Here is a 25,598-nt window from a genome sequence, read left to right as displayed (position 1 = left end):
CTGGTCGTATGTCAGCTGTTGCTGCCACAGAAGTCAGGCTTCCAGGGGTGGAGTGAGCCCTGGGGTGACCTGGTGATTCTGCAGCCACTGTGACAAGGCATGGAGTGTCTTACGGGTCCCCTGCGGTCCAGTGTTAGAGCACCAAGTTACGTAACCCATGTGACCCTGGGCTTCCCAACACGGCGCAGGCTTTCCCGTAGACCCTCCTTCACACTGGAGCCCCTTTGACAGGAAGGGTGAGATCAAAGGAATCCTTCTCTCCATGAGGAATGCCGGCGCTTGCAGCAGCTGCTCTGCGAGGGCCCGCATGTTTGCAGACCCGGACCTCAGGAAGGGAATGCAGGTGACCACAGCAGCGCATTCGGGAAGGTTCGGGGCCAGCTGGCGGCCACATGAGGAGCCTGCCCTCCCAGGTCAGTTGGTTTCCTGGCTCTGGTGCTCTAGCCCAGCGTGGCACAGCTGCCTGTGCCCTGCTCAGAGGACTCCAGGTCTCTTCTAGGACTGCCCATCTCTCTCCCTGCAGGTTCCTCGGTCAGGGATGGAGGCTGCAGAGTCATCCCCGCTCCATGGTCCGGGCCCTGCCCTCAGGGGGCAGGACAGGAACCTCCCATGTCCATCACAGGACCCTCCCTTCCCAGGAGGAGGCCCAAGTGTGGCTGAGGGTACCTTCAGAAAGCGGCAGCCGCTGCCCGCATGGGACTCCGGGAGGCTGGGGACAGGTGCTCCAGGGCCTCCTTCCATTGCCAGCGCCTGCCCTCTGTGCTCTGGTCCCCGGAGCTGCAGGAGCCCAGGGTGAGGGATCCGCACATGCCTCCCCAGTGCAGGCAGACAAATCACAGTGTCCACGGGGCAGAGATTACAGCATGGCAGGGACTGGTGAAGAGCGGCCCATACCAGGTGCAAGCAATGAGGGGGCCCAGAAAGACTGGGATACAAGCATGGGCTGTGATTCTCAAGCACATCAGGTTGCCACTCAGGGCAGTTGCCTCCCATCCTGGGCTCATCACCTGGCACGGCTGAGTCTGGCTGCATGCCCGCCTCTTAAATCACTCAGAATCTATTCAGTAATGAGATCCTGTGGCAGCTCCATGAGGCGGGCACTGTCATTCTCCCTTTTGTGCAGAGGAGGAAACAGAGGCACAGGGCGCTTAAGTCTCCTGCCCCAGGTCTTATTCCTAAGAAATATCTGGGGCTGGGTGGACGTCCAAGCAGCCTCACCTCAAGTCTCTGCTCTCAGCCTCAGTGCTGGGAAGATGCCGCCCTGACCATGTCACGAAATTGTCTGAGGCCCATTGCTCTAGCCTAGGAAACAAGGCCCGGCTGCACATCTCCTCTGGAATCCACCCCCAGACTCTGGCTCCTGCAGAAGCCCTGGAGATCCTCATCCTCCCTCCTCACAGGAAAGTCCTCCCTCATCCTGCCCCCAACACACGGCAGCTGCGTCCTCCCCAGCTTCGCTTTCTATCTTTGCCATATCGGCCTTTTATTATCCAGCAAAACAGCTACATCTGTTTTCCTCTGGGTCTTCCTCTGTTCTCCACTGTTCTGTTCCCTCTTCCTGAAGCTGTTCGTGCTTCTGTTCTCCCACTTGAGAACGGCAGCTCCAGCGTTGCTCTGACCCGGGCTGAGGCTACATCCCAGGGACATTTGCAGCCCTTCTCCTGGCTCTGTGTGCTCTTCTAGGCTGATCCTCACCTGAGCGTCTTTCCTGACCCAACCCTCTGGGTCTCCAGACTTTACACAGCCTGTGTCACTGGCATTAGTCAGTCAGGTTCATCCCTCCTACCGACAGGGCTGAGTCTCCAACCAGTAATTGGGCTGCGTCTCCCGAGGTTGGTCAAGTGGCTTCTCCAAAATCACCCTGCAGGGTCCCAGCCTCAGCTATCTCCTGGACTGGGTCACCTGTACCCAAGGCTTCCAGCATCAGCCAGACTCAGGCCTCTGATATTCCTCAGCTCGCCCTGGTCATTAACCAGACTTTCTCTCTACTCATGAGCCAGCCTCAGGCATCTAAATGTGAGTCCTCTCCACTTCTGTGCTCACAGAAGTTGAAACGGGGCGTTGCGGGGAACCAATCTCTTGTTTTTGATGAGATATTTTCCCTGTGAAATGGCCTGCACATTGCCTTCCATTTCCAGGAGCAACGGTCCATCTGCCTGTCAGATAAAAGACTCAGACGCAGTCCCGGATGCAACCATGACTCTCAGCACCAAGGCGTCCCCCCTTCAGCGTTCAGAATGTGAGTCCATGCTTTTCAGACACTGACATCTGAGTCTGTCCATCAGCAGCAAAGCAGCCTCCTTAAGTAGCTCCCACAGGACCCGGACACACACACACACACACACACACAGACACACACACACACACACGTGTCCAACCCCATGGCAGTGATTTAGAAGCCAAACCCCAGGTACCTCTCAGTCAGATATTTCAGGAGTGCTGTCAACCCAGTAATCACCCTAGATTCAAACTGAGGAGAGAAACTGCAGCTTCCAACCTCTTTAAAATTGCCAGAGGATGTCAAAGGCACAGAGTGGGGTGGGCGGTCTCAGTTCTCAGTTACCGACGCTGTGAGTGACCCGTGTCCCTCATGGGAGCCGAGCCTGGGACTGCTGTGCATGCAGGGTGGGAAATCCAGACTGATGGCCTGAGTCCTCCAGCAGCGCGTGGGGTGCAGAGCCCCAGGGGACAAGGGCAGGGCTTCGGGATTATTGATCTTTGAGGACAGATCCAAGGCTGGGTCACCCTCTCAGGGGGTGGCTGTCCTGGGTTTACCTGCAGTGCCTGGGGGTCTGAAAGCCCTAAAACAAGTCCCCTCTACCTCTTAGATCTGGGCTCAGGGCACCTTTCAGTACTGGGGCTGTTGCTGCCATGGGCATCTGGGCTCCTGGGTTAAAAACGGAATGGGCAGTTTTTCAAATTTTGATAAGTGCTGTCGGTTTGATGACATATCACAGTGGCCACAGGTAATGGAATCCACATAGGGGCTTCACTTCTCATCATTCCAGCACCCCCCACCGTGTGTGGAAATGCACCTTCTCTTCTCCTGGGAGATGTTCCTCCCATCCAACCGTCTGGTTCCAGGAAGATACTGTGCTCATACATGACTCCGCCCCCATAGCCACCACTGATTGGTCTATGGGTGGTCACCTCACCCCATATTGGCCTTCCTGGGATTTTTCAAACTGGAACTGACATGAAGCCAAGAGGAGGAAGAGACTGCATGTTTTCTGGCATATGGGGAAAGCTGATCTACCATGACAAAGAGTTAAGACAATCTCATTAGAAGACAGAGGAGGTGGGGCTGGACCATCCAGGGCTGGCTGCTCTGATGCTCACCTGCACATCTGACCTGCTCTTTGGCTGCACAACCTGAGTCCAAGAGCAGACCCACAGGGCTCCCTGCAGAGAGTTCAATGCAGAGGCTATTTACAGAGGTCTAGGTAGGGGTGGGGAACCTGTACCCCATGAACTGGAACAGCAGGGAAGCTGTTATCCACTGTAAGCCCCAGGGCACAGGTGTGGGGCTTTGTTGCTGGAATGCAGGGAGGGTTGTAATTCTGGGAGAGGAGTTATCTGGCAGGATCGGAGATCTTATTTGAAGGAAAACCTCCACTGCCAAATGTCAGTCAAGCAGGCTCCAACTTCTGTCTCCTCCCACCCTCAGGCTTCTCCTGTTGACTCTCATCAGCCAAATCCAACAGAATCCAGAGGGCAGGGAGCCCCACTGTTGCCATTTATAGAGGTCAGCCTGCTGGTCACAGTGAGGTCAGAGAAGTTCACAAAGTGATGCAGAGGGGCAGTCAGAGAATAACTTGTGCAAAACGACCCTTCTTTGATTCCTTGAGTCAGTAAATGTTCCCATTGGTCTTAGCATTTCTGAGTTGCATTTCTCTTATTTGACTCCAAAAATCCTGTTCCTGTGACCAACTCCCCCAAAGAGACTAAGTTTCTTAAGCCATTTACTAAATCAAGTATATGGGCTGGTGAAGCTCAGTAATGTTTGTTGGATGGCTGGATGAGGAGGCAAGAAAGCACTGCAGAGGCCCCACCACTGCTAGATAGATGCTGCACTGGGTCATCAAAATGCTACCCAACCTTAGGCGGCATCTTTGTCAAAGCATCTTACGATCTTGCCCAAGATTACTTTTGATGGAGCATAGAGGCTCTTGGCAGCAGAATGTCTCTTTTCATGGTCTTTTATAAAACCAGCTGCCCAGCAGTGCCTGAGACTGAGCAGACATTTGATTCATGTTTGAATGAAGGGGTGGATGAGTGGATGATAGATGATGGATGGGTGGAGAGATGAAGAAGTAAATGGGTAGATGGATGGATGGATAAACCAGTAAATGGGTAAATGGGTGGATGGATGAATAAGCAAATGAGTAGATAGGCAGATGGGTGGTGGATAAGTCATAAATGGATGGATGGGTGAATGAGTAGACGTGTGGATAGATGGTTGGATGATGAATGGATGAGTGTGTGGATAGGTGAATGAATAAGTAAATGGGTAGATGGGTGAATGGATGGATGGATGATGGATGGATAGTGAATGGATGGATGGATAAGTGAATGGCTATATAGGTAGTTGGGTGGATGGATGGATAAGTGAATGGATGGGTGAATAGGCAAATGGGTATATGGGTATATGAGTAGATGGGTGGATAGATGGATGATGGATGGGTGGATGGATGGATGGATATGTGAATGTGTATAGGGGTTGACGGATGGAGGAATAGATGAATGATGGATGGATAAATGTGTGGATGGGTGGATAAGTGGGTGGATGATGAATAGATGCTAGTGACTGTTTCCACACCATCAGGAAGCCACGTGCCCCCTAAGAGAATTAGCACTGGGGCTGAGACTTCAGAAAGGCAGTGTCCCAACTCATCCCTGTAACCCTTACAGCTCCACTCCCACACTCCAGCAACTTCCCCCTGGGAGGACCTTGACCATGAGGAGTCCTTATTTCATGATCTCACCAGGATGAGCAGCTGACCATCCCTGGAGGGCTTCATGTTGAGTAATTGCATTTATAGTTCCAAAACATCCTCTTGAACTGAGCTTCACCAAGGGCTGTTTCTAATTCCAGTTCATATTTTATTGCATAAGTTTAACAAGTGCTGGTCTCTCCCAGCTCTAGTATGGAAGTCTGTGGATCTCAGAGCAGCTCAATGGGCAATTAAAATCCAGGAAGATGTGAGGCATCAAGTGTGTGCTGAGGTGGGGAATGAATGGACCCAGGAGCAGGAAGGTGAAGGGTCCTTCACAGTGGACCTGAACCAAGGTGCCTATTCAAGCTCAGATTCTCACTCACTGTAGGGGCTTTTAGAGCAGGCATTTAACAATCACCTTTTTACCTTTTAAGAACAGACTAGAGTATTTGCTTTCCCTTCTCCCTCTGGGACACAAGAACTTGAGTCTCTCAACGTTAATCAGGCTGAGCCACCTGGTGTGAAGAGTTATTCCTCTTCACGGACCACACTGATTCTCCAACCATTAACCAGGCTGACTCCAGACTACCCAGGCTGAAGCTCCTGGAAATATCCAGGGAAGTCCCCGGATGTTAATTATCTCTGTTGCCCAGTCATTTGCAAGACTGAGTCTCCAACCATGAGCCCATGCCAGGCCCCACACTTCTTAGAATCATTCCCCAGGAGGTGGGCCAGGAACTGTGGCATCAACCAGGCCCACATGCTGGACGCTGCCTTGCTTGACTTCCCGTCATTCACCATGGTGGATCTCTAGATATGAGGCCACCCCAGGCTCTGCACGTGGGTCAGCTGATGGGACAGCATTTCAGTCCTAGTCCTTTGAGGATGAACCAGCCTGGATGAACCAGGCCATGAGGCTCCTGAAGCCACAGGGCTTGGTGCCTGAGCCTCTGGAGAAGTGCTGCTGCAAGTTGGAGAGGAGACAGTGGAGGCAGCTTCCAGAGGAAAGCTGGAGAGATGCCAGGAGTGCACGGCACGGCAGGCAGCCCTGGTTCTCAGGGGAGGGTTGCAACTCTGTCCAGAAGGGATTATTAACCATTCTCAGGTGGCATCTCAGCCCATCAGGGTGTCTGGGCATCCTGGCGCAGTCCTCCCAGCAGTTCCTCTAAGAGACTGGTCATGTTCTCTGTGGAAACCTCCCAGCCTCAGACAGCCCGGGATTCAGTCCCACAGTCCCGTGCAGGGTTGGCAGTGCTGCCCAGGCTCCGGTTCCCTCTTACCTGAGATCTCTGTGTGAGGACAGACAGTTCTTCTGCAGAGGAGTAAGGATGGCTCAGCCCTTGCACGTGTCAGTGGGCACCTGCCTGGCACACTCGGCCTTCTGTACATCAGGTGGGATGATCTGAGCTCATCAGAGAACCCAAAGCTGAACCGTGCTCAGGACTGACGTGAGAGCTGCACACACTGGCATCTCACTGTAAGGACACGAAGCCAACGAGGCCATGCCCCCAGAGTCTCAAATCTCGGACCGTGTCCCCACCACACGTTCCTCTGACTGAGAGTTGGCCCAGGCTCGAGTGGTGGGTAAAACACAGGGAGAGAGAAGCAGGGCCAGGTGACCCTGGAATGTGTCTGTCAGGATCTCTCCAGGGCCAAGAGAGGGAAAACCCATTGAACCTGGATTAGAGCCCAGTGCCTGTAAGTGTTTATTTCATTTCTGTCCCTGTAGTAGTTTATCTAAGTTGGGTCCTCCCGCAGATGGCCGCCCAATCTCTAGCCCACACTCCCACCCACATGACTCTGGTGAGGCAGAATACAAATCAGCTTTATCACTCCCAGATAGACAGCAGGGGACTGCAGAATCCTTGGATCCATGGCACATCAGTCTCACGAGCTCAGGCGAGCTGAGCTGCCCAGGGTTCAGGGAGTCTCACCTGTGTGTCTCCCTTGTGTGGCACTGCAGCTGAGAACTTGGAAAAGCGCCTGCCCTGGGTCTACCCTGGGGACACATGATTGATGGGCTGACTTGAGGTAGGACATCCTGTTCTAGGAGGGGCAGGAACGGAGGCTGGGTTGCTCTAGTCCCTCCTTATCTGGGGATGCTGCATTCTCAGCAGATTCTTCAGTTGTTTGAAAACCACAACTGAGAAGGGGAAGGCTGGGTCAGCCACACACATGTGGGGACCATCCTATACCAGCGAGGATCTAGGATCAGTTCCCTCCTTTCCCTTCCCTGCCTGTTGTCCTTTGAGGGGAAACACAGCACTCTGTTGGATTGTACAATGAGGCACAGCCCTTCTGAGGTATAGACAGAGACCACCCACTGTCGGATGACAGGGCTTCCCGGTTCCTTTCTCCTGGTTTCCCTAAATCAGTGATTCCGAAGCTCTGCCACAAATTGGGGTCACTCAGCAGCTCTAACTGCTCCCCTACCGCATGCCAACTAGCTCTCAGAAATTTTGGGGGTGCAAAGCAGGCATCAGAACCTTTTAAAGTCCTCAGAGGGCTGCACTGTGCAGCAGGTGTGAGAACTGATTTATCAAAGTAGCAATTCTCAAGCTTGATGAGCACAGGGACTCCTGGGGGTCTTGTTAAAATGTTTTTTTCTGATTGGATAGGTGAGGGGGAGGGCCCAAGAATTCAAATCTTTAATGAGTTCCAGGTGGTGCTGATGCTGCAGGTGGAGACAGGGGGCCCCAGAGTGTCCTGAAGCCCATTCTTGATGCACCATTTATTTTGGAAGGATTTTGGAGGGAGCACTTGGAATTTAAACCACCTTAGTTTAAACAGCAGCAACAAACCACCCTCAAAATCACACTACTGATGGGTAAATGCTGCTCCTGCTTTTCAGGGGATGAGCGAAGGTGAAGCCACCTGTGGTCTCAAAGCACAGACACACGATGAACAAGAGGCACGTGGCAGAGAAATTCCTGCATCTTAGTGCATCTCAGCGCTCCCAGGTGGAAAACTCAGCCAAAAGATCAGGCAACCTTACGCTTATTCTACCCTCAGAGTCTCTGGGTGATCTCAGGGAAGAATCCTTGCTAGGAGCCCATGAGGAATGGGGAGCAGACCTTAATATTCGTAAAACCCAGGCTCTTTTCTGGAGAGAAAACAAGACCCAGGGCTTCTCAGAGCTGCTCCTTATTGGGCGGTTCTTGTTCCTGAAAAAGGATCCTGCAGACACTGCACAGCTCTGAGCACCTCTGAGAAGTTTGCAGCAGTCAGCAGTAGTTTGGTATGGCGCATGACTCAGACCTAAAAGCCATCCATAGTGAGTGTCCAGAACTAACAAATGGAAAGAAACCAGTGGCTGGGGCAGTGCAGGTGGTGACCTGGGGAGGTAGGTAGGGTCGGCTCATGGGGAGAGGGCTCCTCAGCCTTGATAGAAATTTTATTCCAGGGACTGTGGAAGAATCAGAAGTGTCCCACTGTGGGAGGGACACCATCTGGCTACATCTGGGGAAGTTTTGTCTGGAGGATGGTAAGATGGGGAGTAGGGGAGCAGAAGAGAGAGACGGATTACTTCATCTCAGTGGGAGAAGCAGGGTGACTTGGGCATCTCCATACCCACTTCCCCATTTATGTTTCTCCACAATACGTCACCTGACATGGTACGTATTTTACCAACGTATTAATTTATTGCCTGTTTCTCCCCATTAAAATGCAGTGCTCCGGAGGGGCCATGTTGCTTTGTTCACTTTTGTCCATGGTACCTGCAACAGTCACTGGCACACAACAGACACTCGTCAAACATTCGCTGAATAAATGGATAAATTAATGAATGGATGATAGATGGATGGATGGGTGAGTGGATGGCTGGATTGGTATGTGGGTGGATGGGTGGGCAGGGTGGGTGGATAGATGTATGGATGATGGATGAATGGGTGGATGGATGGATGGATGATGGATGAATGGGTGAATGGGTGGATGGATGGGTGGATGGATGATGGATGGATGATGGATGGATGGGTGGAAGGGTGGATGGATAGATGGGTGGATGGGTGGATGGGTGGATAATGGATGGATGGATGATGGATGGGTGGGTGGGTGGGTGGATGGATGGGTAGATGGGGGGATGGATGGGTAGATGGGTGGATGGATGGATGATGGATGGATGGGTGGATGGGTAGATGGTGGGTAGATGGGTGGATGGATGGATGGATGATGGATGGATGGATGATGGATGGATGGGTGAATGGATGGATGGGTGGGTGGATGGATGATGGATGGATGGGTAGATGGGTGGATGGATGGGTAGATGGGTGGATGGATGGATGATGGATGGATGGGTGGATGGGTAGATGGGTAGTTGGGTGGATGGATGGATGATGGATGGATGGATGATGGATGGATGGATGGGTGAATGGATGGATGGGTGGATGGATGGATGATGGATGGATGGGTAGATGGGTGGATGGATGGATGAATGATGGATGGGTGGGTGGATGGATGGATGGATGACGGATAGGTAGGGGGGTTGATGGATGGATGGATGACGGATGGGTGGGGAGGTTGATGGATGGATGGATGAGGGATGGGTGAGGGGTGGATGGATGGATGAGCAGCTGGATGATGTATGGATGGATGCATGGGTGGATGGATGGATGATGGATGGATGGGTGGGTGGGTGAATGAATGGATGGATGATAAATGGGTGGGTACGTGGGTGGGTGGATGGATGATGGGTGGATGGATGGATGGATGGATGATGGATGGATGGATGGGTAGATGGGTGGATGGATGGATGAATGATGTATGGGTGGGTGGATGGATGGATGGATGGATGATGGATGGGTGAGGGGGTTGATAGATAAATGGGTGATGGATGGGTTGGGGGGGGTGGATGACCTAATGAGTGACAGACCAATTACTGGACCTTCTGGACAGAGGCAGTCGGGAAATTTATGACTTGGCCTTTCATTCTTGATTTTCTCCTTCTGGATATTTCTTGCTTCTAAACCCCTGCTCAGGGGTCTCCAGGCTCAGAAAGTCCCTCACTTTGTCCCCACTATTGCCACCTGCCCTGGCAGAAGGTCCTTCACAAGGTCCTCTTGCCTAGGCTCTTAGAATGGAGGGGAACTTGGGCTCCATTCACACTTCTCTTTGTGCAGATGGAGAAACTGAGGCACATGGGGGTGATAACTTTCTCAAGGCCTCTTGGCTGAGTGCTGGTGACCAGCAGAACAGACTGTCAGCCAACTCCTGCCTAGTAGTGTCCTGTCCCCTTCATCACATGCCCCACCTGTGTCCTGGCTGGGGCTTTGCATCTGCCTCTGACCAGTGGAGCTTCTCCCGTGTCACACGGCTGCCTCTCAGTTATCCCTCTGTCTTCTTCAGAAAGCTATGTCCTGTCTGCATCTCATCGGTCCTGCATCCCCAAGGATGATGAGCACAGTCTCCAGGAGGATTCATGGCCTGGCGTGGCCTCCCTGGTAGGGGTCTGATGATGGCTGAGCGGCTGTGATGGGGCTGGGAGGGGCAGGAGGGATGGCTTCTGGGCGCCCGGATCCAGCTCTGATCCAGGAGCCCAGAGACTCAGGTGTCTGCACCAAGGCAGGGACAGGCACAGGGGCATGTCCCAGGGAACCCAGGTGTGGTGACCATCAGGGAACACACCCACCCTGAGGGCACAACCCGCCACTGGAAACAGCTGTTTTCCTGTGGGCACCAGCCCTCCCTCCATAGAATCACTGATGGGTAATTTCCTAATGTCCATTATATTTACTTCTGTTCCCTGTTTCCCTTGATAGTTTCTGCTACACTGCATGACCCCTGACACAGAGATTTGGGCTCTTCAATTCCCCGTGGGAGTCCCAGTCCCTGGAACCTGGCTGGCACTCAGCGAGCACTCATTGATGAAGGAATGAGTGAGAAGTGAGTGAGTGAGTTGGGGGGTGGGGCTTTGAGGTCAGGGACATTCTCCCTGGCTGGGTGTCTGTGACCTCATGTCAGCCCCTCTGCTGTGGTCAGTCCAGTGTGCTGCTGTCCTGGGAGGCTCCACCACTCTGTCCACCAAGGCCTGGCCACTGACACACTCTCCAGCAGACCTTGGTCTTCCCACGCCCTGTGGACTCTGCAGCTCCTCTGTGGCTGTGTAAATGGGGCTGCCTCTAGATGGCTCTGGCCCGGGGCTTCCCCAATAGACCCTTGGCCTTCAGGACTCATGTGTCCAGCTCCAAACATGAGCTGTCATGGCAGACTGCCCAGTGGCTATCCTCTCCATTGCCCGTGCCACGGGGGGGCCTGGCCACGGGCTGCCTTCGGGATTCTGCACGTGGGATGTGCCACTGGCCTCGCCAGGCATCATCCCCAGACTCCTGGATGTGCACCCAGCCCCCCACACACCTCCAGGCCTCCCAGACATGGCTTTCAGTGCTCTAGCTGCTCCCAGGAAGACACTCCTCCAGGCACCGAATCTCAACCAGGACGTCTCAGGCCCCCTCACGTGGCCGGGACACACACCCTGACTTTACTGTGGTTGCTCTGCTATCTGCTCCCGACACCCTGCAGCTCTGTGAGCCTTGCCCTATGAGTCTCCTTTGGCCATCAGGCCCATCTGACCCCCATCATGGACAGGACATTTGACTCTGAAGTAGCAGGGGTGGCGGCTCCCACAGCATCACCCCCTCACTGAGTCCCATCCCTGGTGGTGGAACGTTGGGCTGAGTCTTTTCCTGGAGTGCTGGGTGGTGATGATGGGCATCTTTCGGCCTCTCTGAGAACCAGTGTCATCGATGGCACCATTTAGACCTGATCCATGCCCCTGACCCCTGTGAATGATCCTGAACTCCAGGACACCCCCACGGAGTAAGCCCAGAATAGCACGCATGGTTAATGAGCCTGTGAATGAGAGTTTACCTTTGCAGGAAAGAAATGGCAAATCAACAGCAGAGATTAACAGGTCCATTAGGAAGACATGAAAAGAAGAAAATAAAGTCAACATTACCTTCCCTGCTAAATTTCCTGGAACACCCCTGGGTGTATGTCCCTGAGGGCGCCCAAATGAGGAGCAGAGGGCTCCTGCCAGATCCTCCACTGGCGTCAGCAGTGATGACTCAGCTGGGCAGGACTGGAGAGGCTCTCGCTCCAGCGACAGCATGGAATCCAGCAAGTGAAAGGGCAAATGTTCCTGGGTTTTGCGAAGCATTTGCTGCTTCCAGCTTCTCTTCTTAAACTACATTTGTCAGTGCCCTTTTTGTGGCAAGTGACAAACCCAACTGAAGCTGGCTTAGGTGAAAAAACAAATAAAACTCATGCGCCCTTTCGTGTAACGGGAGCCTCTGTCCAGACCTCAAGGGCAGTCGTTTCCATCCTCTCTCAGGCTCTCTCCAGCTTTAACTTGCTTTCATCTGTTGCCTTTACTTGCAGGGTTTTCTCTGTGTGATGCTCTCAGCCATCCCAGGCTGACACCGCACCAGCCTCCCAACTGCAGTGGAGAGAGAGCTCCCTGCTTCTGCCAGTTCCCACAAAGTTCTGGAATTCAGCCTCCTGGCCTGGCAGGGAACGTGAGACCATCTCTAACCCATCACTGAGTCCAGGGCCAAGGCTGCTGCTGACCAGGCCTGGGCTACAGGAGCTGGGATGGAGGATGGATCAGCCTCCTTCAAATCACAGGTGACGGAGGCAAGGTGGGGGAAGGGAAAGGTAAGAACTGTCTCAAAGGGATGGAGAACAGACGTTTGGCAGGATCAAACCAAGTGTCCACAAACGAAGTTAATTCCTGTGCACTGCGGGGCGAGATCCTCAAGTTAGGAGGAAAGAGGACACGGGTCATTCCAGCCGGAATTAACTTCGGGCCTTTCTCCTGCAAGGAGGCCAGACTTCTCTCCTTTGTCCCCATATTGGAATCCCCCGGAGCATGTCCACTGGAACAGGGGAGCTGATACATTCAGACCACAGTGAGAGGAACTGAGTCTGGACTCATGGCTGTTTGGTCAGGGTGGGCGACAGACCCTGACAGCAGACCCCACTCCTGCAGGGACTTCAACCAGTATGAGTCGAAAGTTCATTCGGGACATTCCAAAGTGGGGCACAGGATCACCCCTCCCCCCACGGTCAATCAGGGCCCGGGCTCCTGCGTCGACTCCCTCCACTGTCCTCTGAGCCCCTGGGGTCCTCTCTGTCTAACTGGCTCATAAGGAAGAGAAAATGCGAGAATTGCAGGGCCTTCTCCATAGGCCTGCCTGGAAGTGCTGCCCTCTGGGCAGAGCTTGGTCGTCTGACCCCACCTGACACAGGGAGGCTGGGAATGGGCTCTAAGTGTACCCAGGAGGGAGGTGGCATGGGCCCTGTGGCACTGCAGGCTCTGTCCCCGTGAGGACCTCTCTCTGCAGGCACCCACTGTTTACCTGGGGACACAGCACTGGGCAAAGGACAAAGCTGTCCTGGAATAATTCCAAGCATTCCCCAATGAGGCCTGTGAGGGGCAGAAGAGGATGAAGGGGGCGGGGTGTGGGCTGGTGCATGCTGGTGTCTTCCTCTCTACAATGGCAGCCCTATCCATGATCTGAGTGTCAGAGCACCCATCCCCCAGGACTCAGCCAGGCTGTCATAGGGGATGATGACAGTCAGAGCTCAAAGAACTCACCCTGAGGATCTGAGATTAGGTTGGCTCAGTGCCAGGGACATCTCATTAAGACAGTCACACACCTCCTCATGAGAGCACAGCCTCCTGGGATGGCACAGTTCATGTGCAAAGCTCAGCAGCATCATCAGATGAAGGCAGGGCCCTGAGGAGTCTGGGCACCCCACCAGCTGCATTTCTGATCATTGGTTTTCCTGCAGGCAGTCCCGGAGCTGGAGCCAGGGCAATGAGATGTTTAATTGCAGCCTTGCCCCTGACAACAAAGCTGCCCACTCCCTGCCTGGTGGTCCTGCCTGCAGAGATGTGGCCCACTCAGGCCTCCAAGATGTCTAGGATAACTTCATAAGGGCTCAGCTGCCTCTACTTATAAATTCACCCCAAAGTCTCCTGATGACCTGGGAAGGGACCAGAGCTCCCATGGTGCTGTTGACTTGTATAGAGACAGAACTTCTCACAGAAGCACAACCTGGATCTAATTCCCAACGCTGGGCCCCACCCTGGCTGCTGCAATCCACTCAAATGAACACACGTCCCTTGATTTGCACAGTGGTGTCCTAGGCCAGGTCAAGACATTCTAGCTCCTGGAAATGCAGTGTGTTAGGAGGGCCTTTCCCAAACATGATTACCTCAGAGAGGGCTCTTGCCGTCTTGCTCGTGATGTGTTTATAATTGCTGGGAGCAGATTCCTCCCATTGTCCCCAGGACACAGCAGAGGCCCCAACCTGCCCCATAGCCCAGAATCAGCACCACACACTCAGGCATCATGGAGTGACTGAGGTGATTCCCTGCAGGGGCTCCGGGGGCTTCCACCCACTCACAATAAACCCACACCATGTCCCATGGACTGTGAGGCCCCCATGGCCCAGGCTCCATCTCCCCCTCTGTTTATTTTGCTTCAGCCTCTTTGGCCTTCTTGCTGTTCCTTGAATGCTCCAAGCTCACTCCACCCCAGGGCCTTTGCACTTGCTGTGACACTTGGCTGAACACTTCTCACAACCTCATCCTTCCTATCTCCAACCAGTGTTTACTCAGAGAGGCCTTCCTTGACCTCTCATTGAATGCAGCCTCCTCACCCCAAGGCATACTCACATCACCCTCTTAATGGTCTTCATGACACTTGTTACTGTCACTGAAAGCATTTACCTATTAGCTCAGGGCATTGTTTCTGAGTCCACTGATTCTGGGATGAGGTGCCTGCTCTGAATCCCAGCACTGCCACATCCTGTGTGCCCTTAGGGAGGTGACTTGACTTCTCTGTGCCTCAGCTTCTCATTTATCAAATGGAGATCAGGAGCACTTACCTCAGGTGTTGTGGTGTCAATTGAGTGACCTGACATATGTGAGGTGTCTAGAATAGTGTCTGGTAAAAATAACCCATGCAATGTTTATTTGGGTTGCTACTACAGTGCCTGCTTCCCTTGCTGATACTGTCATGATCATCATCATCAACATAATTATCACCACCATCAATATAATCATCACCACTATCATCACCATCATCATAATCATCACCATTACCTCCACATTACCATGATCATCATCACCACTATCATCACCATCACCATCATTATCACCATCACCATAATCATCACCATCATCACCTCCACATTACCATTATCATCATCACCATCATTACCAAAATCATCACCATCACCATCATTACCATTATCACCAACACCATCATCATCACCATCAAAATCACCATTATCACCATCAATATCACCATCACCAGTATCATCACCATCATTACCACCATCATCACCATCACCATCATCATCACCATCACCATTGATATGATTTGGCTCTGTGTCACCATTCAAATCTTATTTCAAACTGCAATCCCCATGTGTTGAGGGAGGAACCTGGTGGGAAGTGATTGGATCATGGCGGGGGTGTTTGTTTTCCCCATGCTGTTCTAGTGATAATGAGTGTGTTCTCATGAAAGCTGATGGTTTTAAAGTGTGGCATTTCCTCACTGTCTCTCACTTGCCAGCATGTAAGATGTGGTTTGCTTCCCCTTCACCTTCTGCCATGATTATAAGTTCTCTGAGACCTCCCCAGCCATATGGAACTGTGAGCCAATTAGATCTTTCTTTATAAATTACCCAGTCTCAGGTACTGTCTTTATAGCAGTGTGAAAACAGACTAATACACAGAATTGGTACCAAGGTAGTGGGACATTGCTAAAAGATATCTGAGAATGTGGAAGCAACTTTGGAACTGGATAACCGGCAGAGGTTGGAATAGCTTGGAGGGCTCAGAAGAAGATAGAAAGATGTGGAAAAGTTTAGAACTTCCTAGAGACTTGTTGAATGGTTTTGGCTAAAATGCTGATAGTGATATAGACAATGAAGTCCAGGCTGAAGTGATTTCAGATGGAGATGAGGAGCTTATTGGGAACTGGAGCAAAGGCCACTCTTGCTATGCTTTAGCAAAGAGACTGGAGGCATTTTTCCCCTGCCCTAGAGATCTGTGGAACTTTAAACTTGAGAGAGATGATTTAGGGAATCTAGCAGAAGAAATTTCTAAGCAGCAAAGCATTTAAGAAGTGACCTGATTTTTCCTGAAAGCATACAGTTATATGAGCTCACAGAGATGGTTTGAAATTGGAACGTATGTTTAAAAGAAAAGCAGAGCATAAAAGTTTGGAAAATTTACAGCCTGACCGTGTGATATAAAAGAAAAACCCATTTCTGGGGGAGAAATTCCAACTGGTTGCAGAAATTTGCATAAGTAAGGAGAAGCCGAATGTCTTAGAATCACTAAGGCAATGGGGAAAATGTCTCCAGAGAATGTCAGAGATCTTCAAGACAGCCCCTCCCATCATGGGCCCAGAGGCCTAGGAGGGTAAAATGTTTTTTTGGGCTGGGCCCAGGGCCCCATTGCCGTGTGCAGCCTCAGGACATGGTGTCCTCTGTCCCAGACACTCCAGCTCCAGCTGTGCCTAAAAGAGGCCAAGGTACAGCTCAGACTATTCCTTCAGAGAGTGCAAGCCCCAACCAAGCCTTGGCAATTTCCACATGATGTTGGGCCGATGGGTGCACAGAAGACAAGAGCTGAGCTTTGGGAACCTCCATCTAGATTTCAGAGTATGTATGGAAATGCCTGGATGTCCAGGCAGAAGTCTGCTGCATGGGTGGAGCCCTCATAGAGAATCTCTGCTATGGCAGTGCAGAAGGGAAATGTGGAGTTGGAGCCGCCACACAGAGTCCCCACTGGGGCATTGCCTAGTGGAGCTGTGAGAAGAGGGTTACCATCCTCCAGATCCCAGAATGGTAGATCCACTGACAGCTTGCACTGTGCACTTGGAAAAGCCACAGGCACTCAATGCCAGCTTGTGAAAGCAGCTGTGGGGGCTTTACCCTGCAGAGCCACAGGGACAGAGCTGCCCAAGGCTGTGGGAGCCCACCACTTGCATCAGTGTGCCCTGGATGTGAGACATGGAGCCAAAGGAGATTTTGGAGCTTCAAGATTTCAGGCAGGCTTCCAACTTGCATGGGCCTGTGGCCCCTTTGTTTTGGCCAATTTCTCCCATATGGAATGGGAACATTTACCCTATGCCTGTACCTGCATTGTATCTTGGAAGTAACTAACTTGCTTTTGATTTTACAGGCTCATAGGTGAAAGGGACTTGCCTTGTCTCAGATGAGACTTTGGACTTGGACTTTTGAGTTAATGCTGCAATGAGTTAAGATTTTGGGGAACTGCTGAGAAGGCGTAATTGGTTTTGAAATGTGAAAGGAGGTTGGGCGTGGTGGCTCATGCCTGTAATCCCAGCACTTTCAGAGACTGAGGCAGGTGGGTCATTTGAAGTCAGGAGTTTGAGATCAGCCTGGCCAACATGGTGAAACCCTGTCTCTACTAAAAATACAAAAATTAGCTGGGCATGGTGGTGGGCACATGTAATCCCAGATACTTGGGAGGCTGAGGCAAGAGAATTGCTTGAGCCTGGGAGGCGGAGGTTGCAGTGAGCAGAGATCATGGCATTGTGCTCCAGCCTGGGTGACAGAGTGAGACTCTGTCTCAAATTTTAAAAAATGATAGGGTTTGGCTGTGTCCCCACCCAAATCTCATCTCAAATTGTAATCCCCATGTATCGAAGGAGGTACCTGGTGGGAGGTGATTGGATCATGGGGATGGTTTCCCCCACGCTGTTCTTGTGATAGTGAGTGAGTTCTCACAGGAGCTGATGGTTTTAAAGTGTGGCACTTCCTCACTGTCTCTTGCCTGATGCCATGTAGGACATGCCTTGCTTCCCCTTTACCTTCTGCCATGATTGTAAATTTCCTGAGGCCTCCCAAGTCATGCAGAACTGTGAGTCAAACCACCTGTCTTTATAAATTACCCAATCTGAGGCAGTATCTTTATAGCAGTGTGAAAACAGGCTAACAAAATCATCACCATCATCCCATCACCATTACCATCATCAGCATCATTATCACCACCAACATCATTATCATCACCATCATCCCATCATCATCATCACCATTATCATTATAACCATCACCATCACCAACATCCTCCCGTCATCACATTACCATCATCATCACCATCATTGCCACCATCATCCCATCACCATGAGCATAATCATCACCACCACCACCATCATCACCATCATTCCATCATCATCATAATCCCATCATCATCCTATTATCATCACCACCACCACCATTGCCACCATCATCACCATGATCATGATCATACCATCATTGTCATCATCATCACCACCACCACCATCATTATCATCAACATCATCACCATCACCATTATCATCACCACCACCACCATCATCACCATCACCATCATCACATCACCATCATTATCACCATCACCATCATCATCATCATCACCATCATCACATCACCATCATCATCACCATCATCATCATCACCATCATCATCATCATCACCATCATCATCATCATCACATCACAATCATCATCATGATCACCATCATCACCATCATCATCATGATCAGCATCATATCACCATCACCATCACCATCATCATCACCATCACCATCATCACATCACCATCATCACCATCACCATCACCATCATCATCACCATCATCATCATCACCATCATCACCATCACCATCACCATCATCACCATCACCATCATCATCACCATCATCATCTTCACCATCATCACCATCACCATCATCACCATCACCATCACCATCATCATCACCATCATCACCATCATCATCACCATCATCATCACCATCATCATCATCACCATCATCACATCACCATCACCATCATCATCATCATCATCATCACATCACCATCATCATCACCATCATCGCCGTCATCATCACCATCATCACATTATCATCACGATCACCATCACCATCGTGATCACCATCATCACCGTCATCATCACCATCATCACATCATCATCACAATCACCATCATCATCATCATCACCATCATCACATCACCATCACCATCACCATCATCACCATCATCATCACCATCCCTCCATCACAGGACCATAAGCTCAGTGTGACCTGTGAGCTGTTAGTTGACTCTTCTCAGCATCTGGATCTGTGTCTGGCACATAGGATACAGGTAGGGTATTTATTGAATGAACATGGGAGTTATAAAATGAGTACCTGGGCAAATATCCAGGTTGCGGTGGAATTCTGCTGCAGTGCCAGCATTACAGGGAATAGACAACTAATTGCTGGAGCCTGACATTACAGGATCAAAAATAAAAACCACCCTTCTGCCCACTCTGGATGCTCTTCTTGCCTGGCCTTCACTCCCGGCACCCTCTGAGTCACGCGGGGCTCCCTGCAGCCTCATTGATTAAATGCCCAGACACATCTCCTGATGGATTTTGTATCAATACATCCTGCCCTGGAAGCAGGCTTGGGCAGGAAAGCTCACTAAATAAAGACATCCAGTGACGGGTTTGTGAGCCTGGGCGCAGGGAGGCAGCGGAGGGAGCTTCCAACTCATCAACCGAGGCCAGAGGAGGCCAAGCAGGAGGTGTGGGGGGCTGAAGCGTGCGCTGGTTCTGAGTTAGAGAAGCCTAGCTCAGAAAGCTGCCTGAAGGGTCTGCTGGGCACGAACGTGAGAGCTGATTCTGGTGAGGAGACCTGAGGCCTCTCAGAACTTCAAAGGAGGCTGGAAAGGTCAGTCAAGCACTGAGTTTCCATCCTGTCTGCCTGGAGAGGGCCAGGAAGAAGAGGTGGGGAGGACTTTGGGGTGGCTGTCCACAGTGCCTGGCAACCAGGACATCAGACAACATTGTTCATACAATTTAGTCCTCTGGGTTACAGTAGGAATTTGCTTATCTAATATCAGTAATATTTTACTAAACCAGATCAAGAAAAATGTCTATATCTCATTCATGCTTCCAATAAAAAATTATCACTAAAAAACGCTACTTATGCCTTTCTTTGATGTGTGTTTGTTAAATTGTTAATATCCTTGCACATCGTGCACCCTGGCAAATGATACAGATCTTTCCTCAGGATTCTCTTCTTTGGATTTTGAAAGTTCAGTGTGGGGGTTTCACGTATTCCCAGGGGCTGGTCTCCTCCGGCACTCAGTTCCCAATCTTTCATTCATTTCTTCAACTCACACGGCTGGCTTTCATTCTGCTCAGGGAACACCAGGAGTTGGGAGGGAGCTTTGCTCTTGATTTTCAAAAGGAAGGTGGGGAGAGAGGGAGACAGAGAGAGAGAAGGAGACAGAAAGGAAACTGGGTTTTCCTTGGGGGAACATAGGTACTGTGGGAAAAGTGCAGCTGAATATTCTGCTCTTGGCCTTGAGAGATTCATAATGCTGAACTGGGAGCTATAAGATTCGTGCCAGGCAGGTTCCCCATCTGCAAATCAGATGAATTGGCCAAGACGGACAGGGAACTGCAGGTTGCAGAGAAAGCCAGAGAGAAGGGACTTATACTGCGATCCTGAGCTGGGTGAAAAGGTGGGGTGATCTGATGAGACAGGGGCCGTGGCTCTTCCCAGGTGGAGCTCCATATCACACCCACACCAACCCTCCACATCACACCACACCCACCCTCCACATCACACCACACCCACCCTCCACATCACACCAACCCACCCTCCATATCACACCACACCCACCCTCCACATCACACCACACCCACCCTCCACATCACACCAACCCACCCTCCATATCACACCCACACCCACCCTCCACATCACACCCACCCACCCTCCACATCACACCAACCCACCCTCCACATCACAAAACACCCAACCTCCACATCACACCACACCCACCCTCCACATCAAACCCACCCACCCACCACATCACACCACACCCACCCTCCACATCACACCACACCCACCCTCCACATCACACCACACCCACCCTCCACATCACACCACACGCACCCTCCACATCACACCACACCCACCCTCCACATCACACCCACCCTCCATATCAAACGACACCCACCCTCCATATCACACCACACCCACCCTCCACATCACACCACACCCACCCTCCATATCACACCACACCCACCCTCCACATCACACCACACCCACCCTCCACATCACACCACACCCACCCTCCACATCACACCACACCCACCCTCCACATCACACCAACCCACCCTCCACATCACACCCACACCCACCCTCCACATCACACCCACACCCACCCTCCACATCACACCACACCCACCCTCCACATCACACCACACCCACCCTCCACATCGCACCACACCCACCCTCCATATGACACCACACCCACCCTCCACATCACACCACACCCACCCTCCACATCACACCACACCCACCCCCCATATCACACAAACCCACCCTCCACATCACACCACACCCACCCTCCACATCACACCACACCCACCCTCCATATCACACCCACACCCACCCTCCACATCACACCACACCCACCCTCCACATCACACCAACCCACCCTCCACATCACACCACACCCACCCTCCACATCACACCCACACCCACCCTCCACATCACACCACACCCACCCTCCACATCACACCACACCCACCCTCCACATCACACCAACCCACCCTCCACATCACACCACACCCACCCTCCACATCACACCACACCCACCCTCCATATCACACCCACACCCACCCTCCACATCACACCCACACCCACCCTGCACATCACACCACACCCACCCTCCACATCACACCCACACCCACCCTGCACATCACACCACACCCACCCTCCACATCACACCACACCCACCCTCCACATCACACCACACCCACCCTCCACATCACACCACACCCACCCTCCACATCACACCCACACCCACCCTCCACATCACACCCACACCCACCCTCCATATCACACCACGTCCACCCCCCATGCCCTGGCACCTGAGACAGCGGGTGGGCTGGGCAGTGTGACTCTGACTGATGGATGCTGCTGGTCGTTCTCCACGTGCTGCCTCTTAGTCCTGGTCTCTGACCTGGAGACAGAACATATAGGGGCTGCGGCCCAGAGATGCCTCTAATCGTTTCTGTTGAGTTTGGCCAAGGGAGGCCCTAGTTGGAGATTGGGAGAGGAGGAGGTGGAAGCTGGTGGCTGTCCCCAGCCCTTCCTGCTGTATCTGTGGTTCCAGCAGCATCCATCCCTTCATGGCCAGGACACCCCCTCCTTCCCTGTCCTGGAGCCTAAAGGAGGGGCGCCTCCTGCCCTTGCTAGTCCTGTGGATACCCACATCCTTTTAGGATCTCTGTTCCCTGGCCACTGTTCTGAGAGCAACCTCATTACACCATTCCTTGTGAAACACTTGGGCCATTTCTGCTTCCTGCAGGGTTCTGCCTGCTGCCTGGAGGAAACTGCACCGACGGAGACACGAGGAATTGACTGTTGAGGGATCCACCCCTGGGGAGAGGGAGACTCATGGCAGATCGCACTGACTCCCAGACCCAGGGAGCCTCCCTCTGCACACCTGGGCGTGTGGTCTGGGGTCACCCTTGCCCCTGGTTCCCAATGCCTCCTCTGCCCAATGCCATTCCCTCTTCTCCCCTAGAAATGGACTCAGAACTGCCTGAAACTGCAAACAGAGCTCCCAGAGCACCAGACAGGCACTCACAGTAGCAAGGGCACAGCTCAGGGAGCAATGCACCATTGTGGGGAAGACTCTGCAGGGACAGGGCAGACCCGAGTCCCGTTGGGTCCCAGCCCTGGCCGCCTGCCCTGCATTGGAGGTTCCCAAAGCGGCAAGACACGGACACCCCCGGGAATGTGGGAAAGGCAGCCTCCATCTCAGCGTCCGGCTCTGGACAGGGATGAACAAACATGTGCATCCAAAGCCCTCCCCTCCCCCGCCAAGCTGTTTCTAAGGCAGGTGGTCTGCAAGCCACCCCTGGGGAACATGTCCCCGGCCACACCAGGGCCACACCTCAATACCTCCTTCCTGGGACAGAGCTGGGAAGATCTCCAGGGCTGGTAGGGAAGAGCGTGGGCCCAGGAGCCGTTTGTCACCTGGGTCATTACGAGGAGGTGGCGGCATTCCTTGGTAATATATGGTGAATGCCCCAGGAATTTATAGGTGGCAAGGACAGCTATCAGCACAGGTAATTTTCCTCTTGCCATCATATTAACTGGGAGCGCTTAATATTAACTGGGGCCATTAAATGGCCATGTAAAAGTCACAGCCGTCGCTGGGAAGGACAGTGTCCTCACCCGCCCGTGTGCTCTGGAAGGCAAAGCAGAACATGATCTATGGTGGAAGGCAGGCTGAGCTCCCCACTGTTACTAAATTATCGGCTTGACGGTGAGCGCAAGCATTGAATTATTAAACACAGAAATGCTGGCCCCATTTAAGCAGACTTCCTGTAAACTCGGTGCCGGGGAAAAAGGTCACAGCAGAAACTTTGTGTATAGATGAAAAGAAACCTACACAGAGACCTGGCCCAGTGGTCAGATGCCGCAGCCGGAGGCATAGGGGGAGGGAGCCTGTCTGTCCCTGGTGCCGGGAAGGGCACGAGGTGGTGCAGAGCCAAGAATACCAGCTGCCCAGACTTCCCAGTGGAGCTTTTTCCCGGGTCAGCCTTTGTTCTTCCTATGAGGTTTGAAGACATTAAGGAGCAGCTGTCCAAAGCAGAAGGCAAAAACAGACGTTCATTCCAGAGCTGCCCATAGAAATCCTCTGTTTGCCCATTTCTGCCCTGAAGAAAGTGACCTCCAGCCTCCCACACCTGCGTGGACCTCTCCAGGGTCCTGAAAACATCCAGGGCTAGAGCTGCAGACAGCTCCCCATGCTCAGGGAATCCAGCTGTGTTACTAAGCTCCTAGGGTGTGTAAGGCCACCTGCAGACACCTGCAGATAAATGAGACAGAGCTGCCTCTGCTCTCAAGAGGGAGCTCATGAGTGAAGGAGGTAGAAACAGAATTACGAAAGTCCCGAGTAATCATCTCTGAATCCCATATAGAGGTTCACGATGCACACGTGTTTACACACCTGATGCAGGATTCATCCAAGGCAGGGACTTGAACCGGGCCCTGAAAGGTAGGCATGAGTCACAATCCAAGCAGGACATAGATGGCACACGAAGCCAGGAGGCCGAGGAGCATTAATAAGACGTTTGTCAAGGAGGGCACAGACAGGAGGCAGGGGTACAGGAGGAGGAGCTGGAAACAGCAGGCCTGCCCTGCAACCCCCAGGCCAGAGGGAATGACGGTGGAGTGTGTGGGTTGGAACCAGGAGGAGAAGGAAAGAGACAGACAGGGAAATAGAAGATCAAAGTCTGCAGCAGCCACCATGACCCCACTGGTAGCCAGGGACATAAATACTCCGACCTCATGCTTCCCCCTCCCTCTGATCTTACCAGGGCTCCCATGGACTAAACCCAACCAGAGGTCCAAGGGCAAAGGCACTGAAGAGATGGAACCTGCACAGGTGGGTGTCTCTGTGGAGAGAGGAGCCTTCGGGGCAAGCGGGAGAACCAGGCACAGAGGTGCAGAATTGCAGCCAGCAGAGGAGGGCGGGTCTTCCATGGGAAGCAGAGCCAGGGGAGGACACAGGGTGGCTGGGGAGTCAGGGTGCATGTGGGGTGGAGTGTGGGGGCAAGTGGAGCCCTGGGAGGTGGGACAAAGGAACCAGAGGGGGACACATTGTGAGGACCTGGACACCAGAATGTCCCTCAGGCCAAGCACGCACTGACCATCAGCGTCTCACTCTCTCTCTACCTGTGCCAACTCCAGGTGTTTCTACACCAACCTGGATGTCTTCCTAACCCCCAGGTGTGTCTACACTGACCTGAGTGTCTCCCTAACCCCTCAGGTGTGTCTACACTGGCCTGCATGTCTCCCTAGCCCCTCAGGTGGGTCTACACTGGCCTGTATGCCTCCCTAACCCCCCAGGTGTGTCTACACTGACCTGGTTGCCTCCCTAGTCCCCAGGTGTGTCTACACTGTCCTGTATGCCTTCCTCACCCCCATGTGTGTCTACACTGGCCTGTATGCCTCCCTAACCCCCCAGGTGTGTCTACACTGACCTGGATGTCTCTCTAGCCCCACTTAGGTCCTGGAGGGTTTCCAGGATCAGGGTCACCTCCAGCTCAGCCCGGGGCCTCAGGACACCAGTGTTATCTCTGCTTTGCTGTGGGGCCACCTCCAGCCCAGCCCGGGGACTCCAGGACACCAGTGTAGCCTCTGCTCTGCTGCGGGGTCACCTCCAGCTCAGCCTGGGGACTCAGGACACCAGTGTAGCCTCTGCTGTGCTGTGGGGTCAACTCCGGCTCAGCCCAGGACTCGGGACACCAGTCCTGAGTCACGCAGGGCTTGTTGCCTGTGCTCTGCTGCTGTAACTTCCAGCTTCAGCTGCAGGAGGAGGAGGAGTTGGGACATCAGGAAAAAGGAATTGAGCTCCTTTGTAGAAAAGCTCAGAGGTTTCCAGAACGCAAAGCAGGCCTCCTGCCTCAGAGCACACCCTGCAGTTGGAATAGCAAAGCACTGGCTTCCTGAACCCCAGCCCCAGTGGGCGCTCTGCCTTGGGGAGCAGCAGACTCCAGGCTTCAGGGTGAGAACTCTCTTCTCTGCTTGCATTATAAATGTGGATCTAACAATTACAGCTGATTAGCA

At 52.6% G+C, this 25,598-nt stretch overlaps 2 annotated features.

Moving 5' to 3' along the window:
- Positions 13,498-13,675: a silencer, noted in NCBI's record as "fragment chr12:131885230-131885407 (GRCh37/hg19 assembly coordinates)". NCBI's record gives its function as "represses an EF-1alpha promoter that drives an FKBP-Casp9 reporter gene in an ReSE screen in K562 erythroleukemia cells {active_cell/tissue: K562}" and the evidence as "EXISTENCE:reporter gene assay evidence [ECO:0000049][PMID:32094911]".
- Positions 22,564-22,713: a silencer, noted in NCBI's record as "fragment chr12:131876192-131876341 (GRCh37/hg19 assembly coordinates)". NCBI's record gives its function as "represses an EF-1alpha promoter that drives an FKBP-Casp9 reporter gene in an ReSE screen in HepG2 liver carcinoma cells {active_cell/tissue: HepG2}" and the evidence as "EXISTENCE:reporter gene assay evidence [ECO:0000049][PMID:32094911]".

Source organism: Homo sapiens, chromosome 12 (assembly GCF_000001405.40).
Source record: "Homo sapiens chromosome 12, GRCh38.p14 Primary Assembly".
Taxonomy (NCBI): Eukaryota; Metazoa; Chordata; class Mammalia; order Primates; family Hominidae; genus Homo; species Homo sapiens.
Note: the sequence above shows the minus strand (reverse complement) of the source record. Positions and strands in the feature narration are given on the sequence as shown.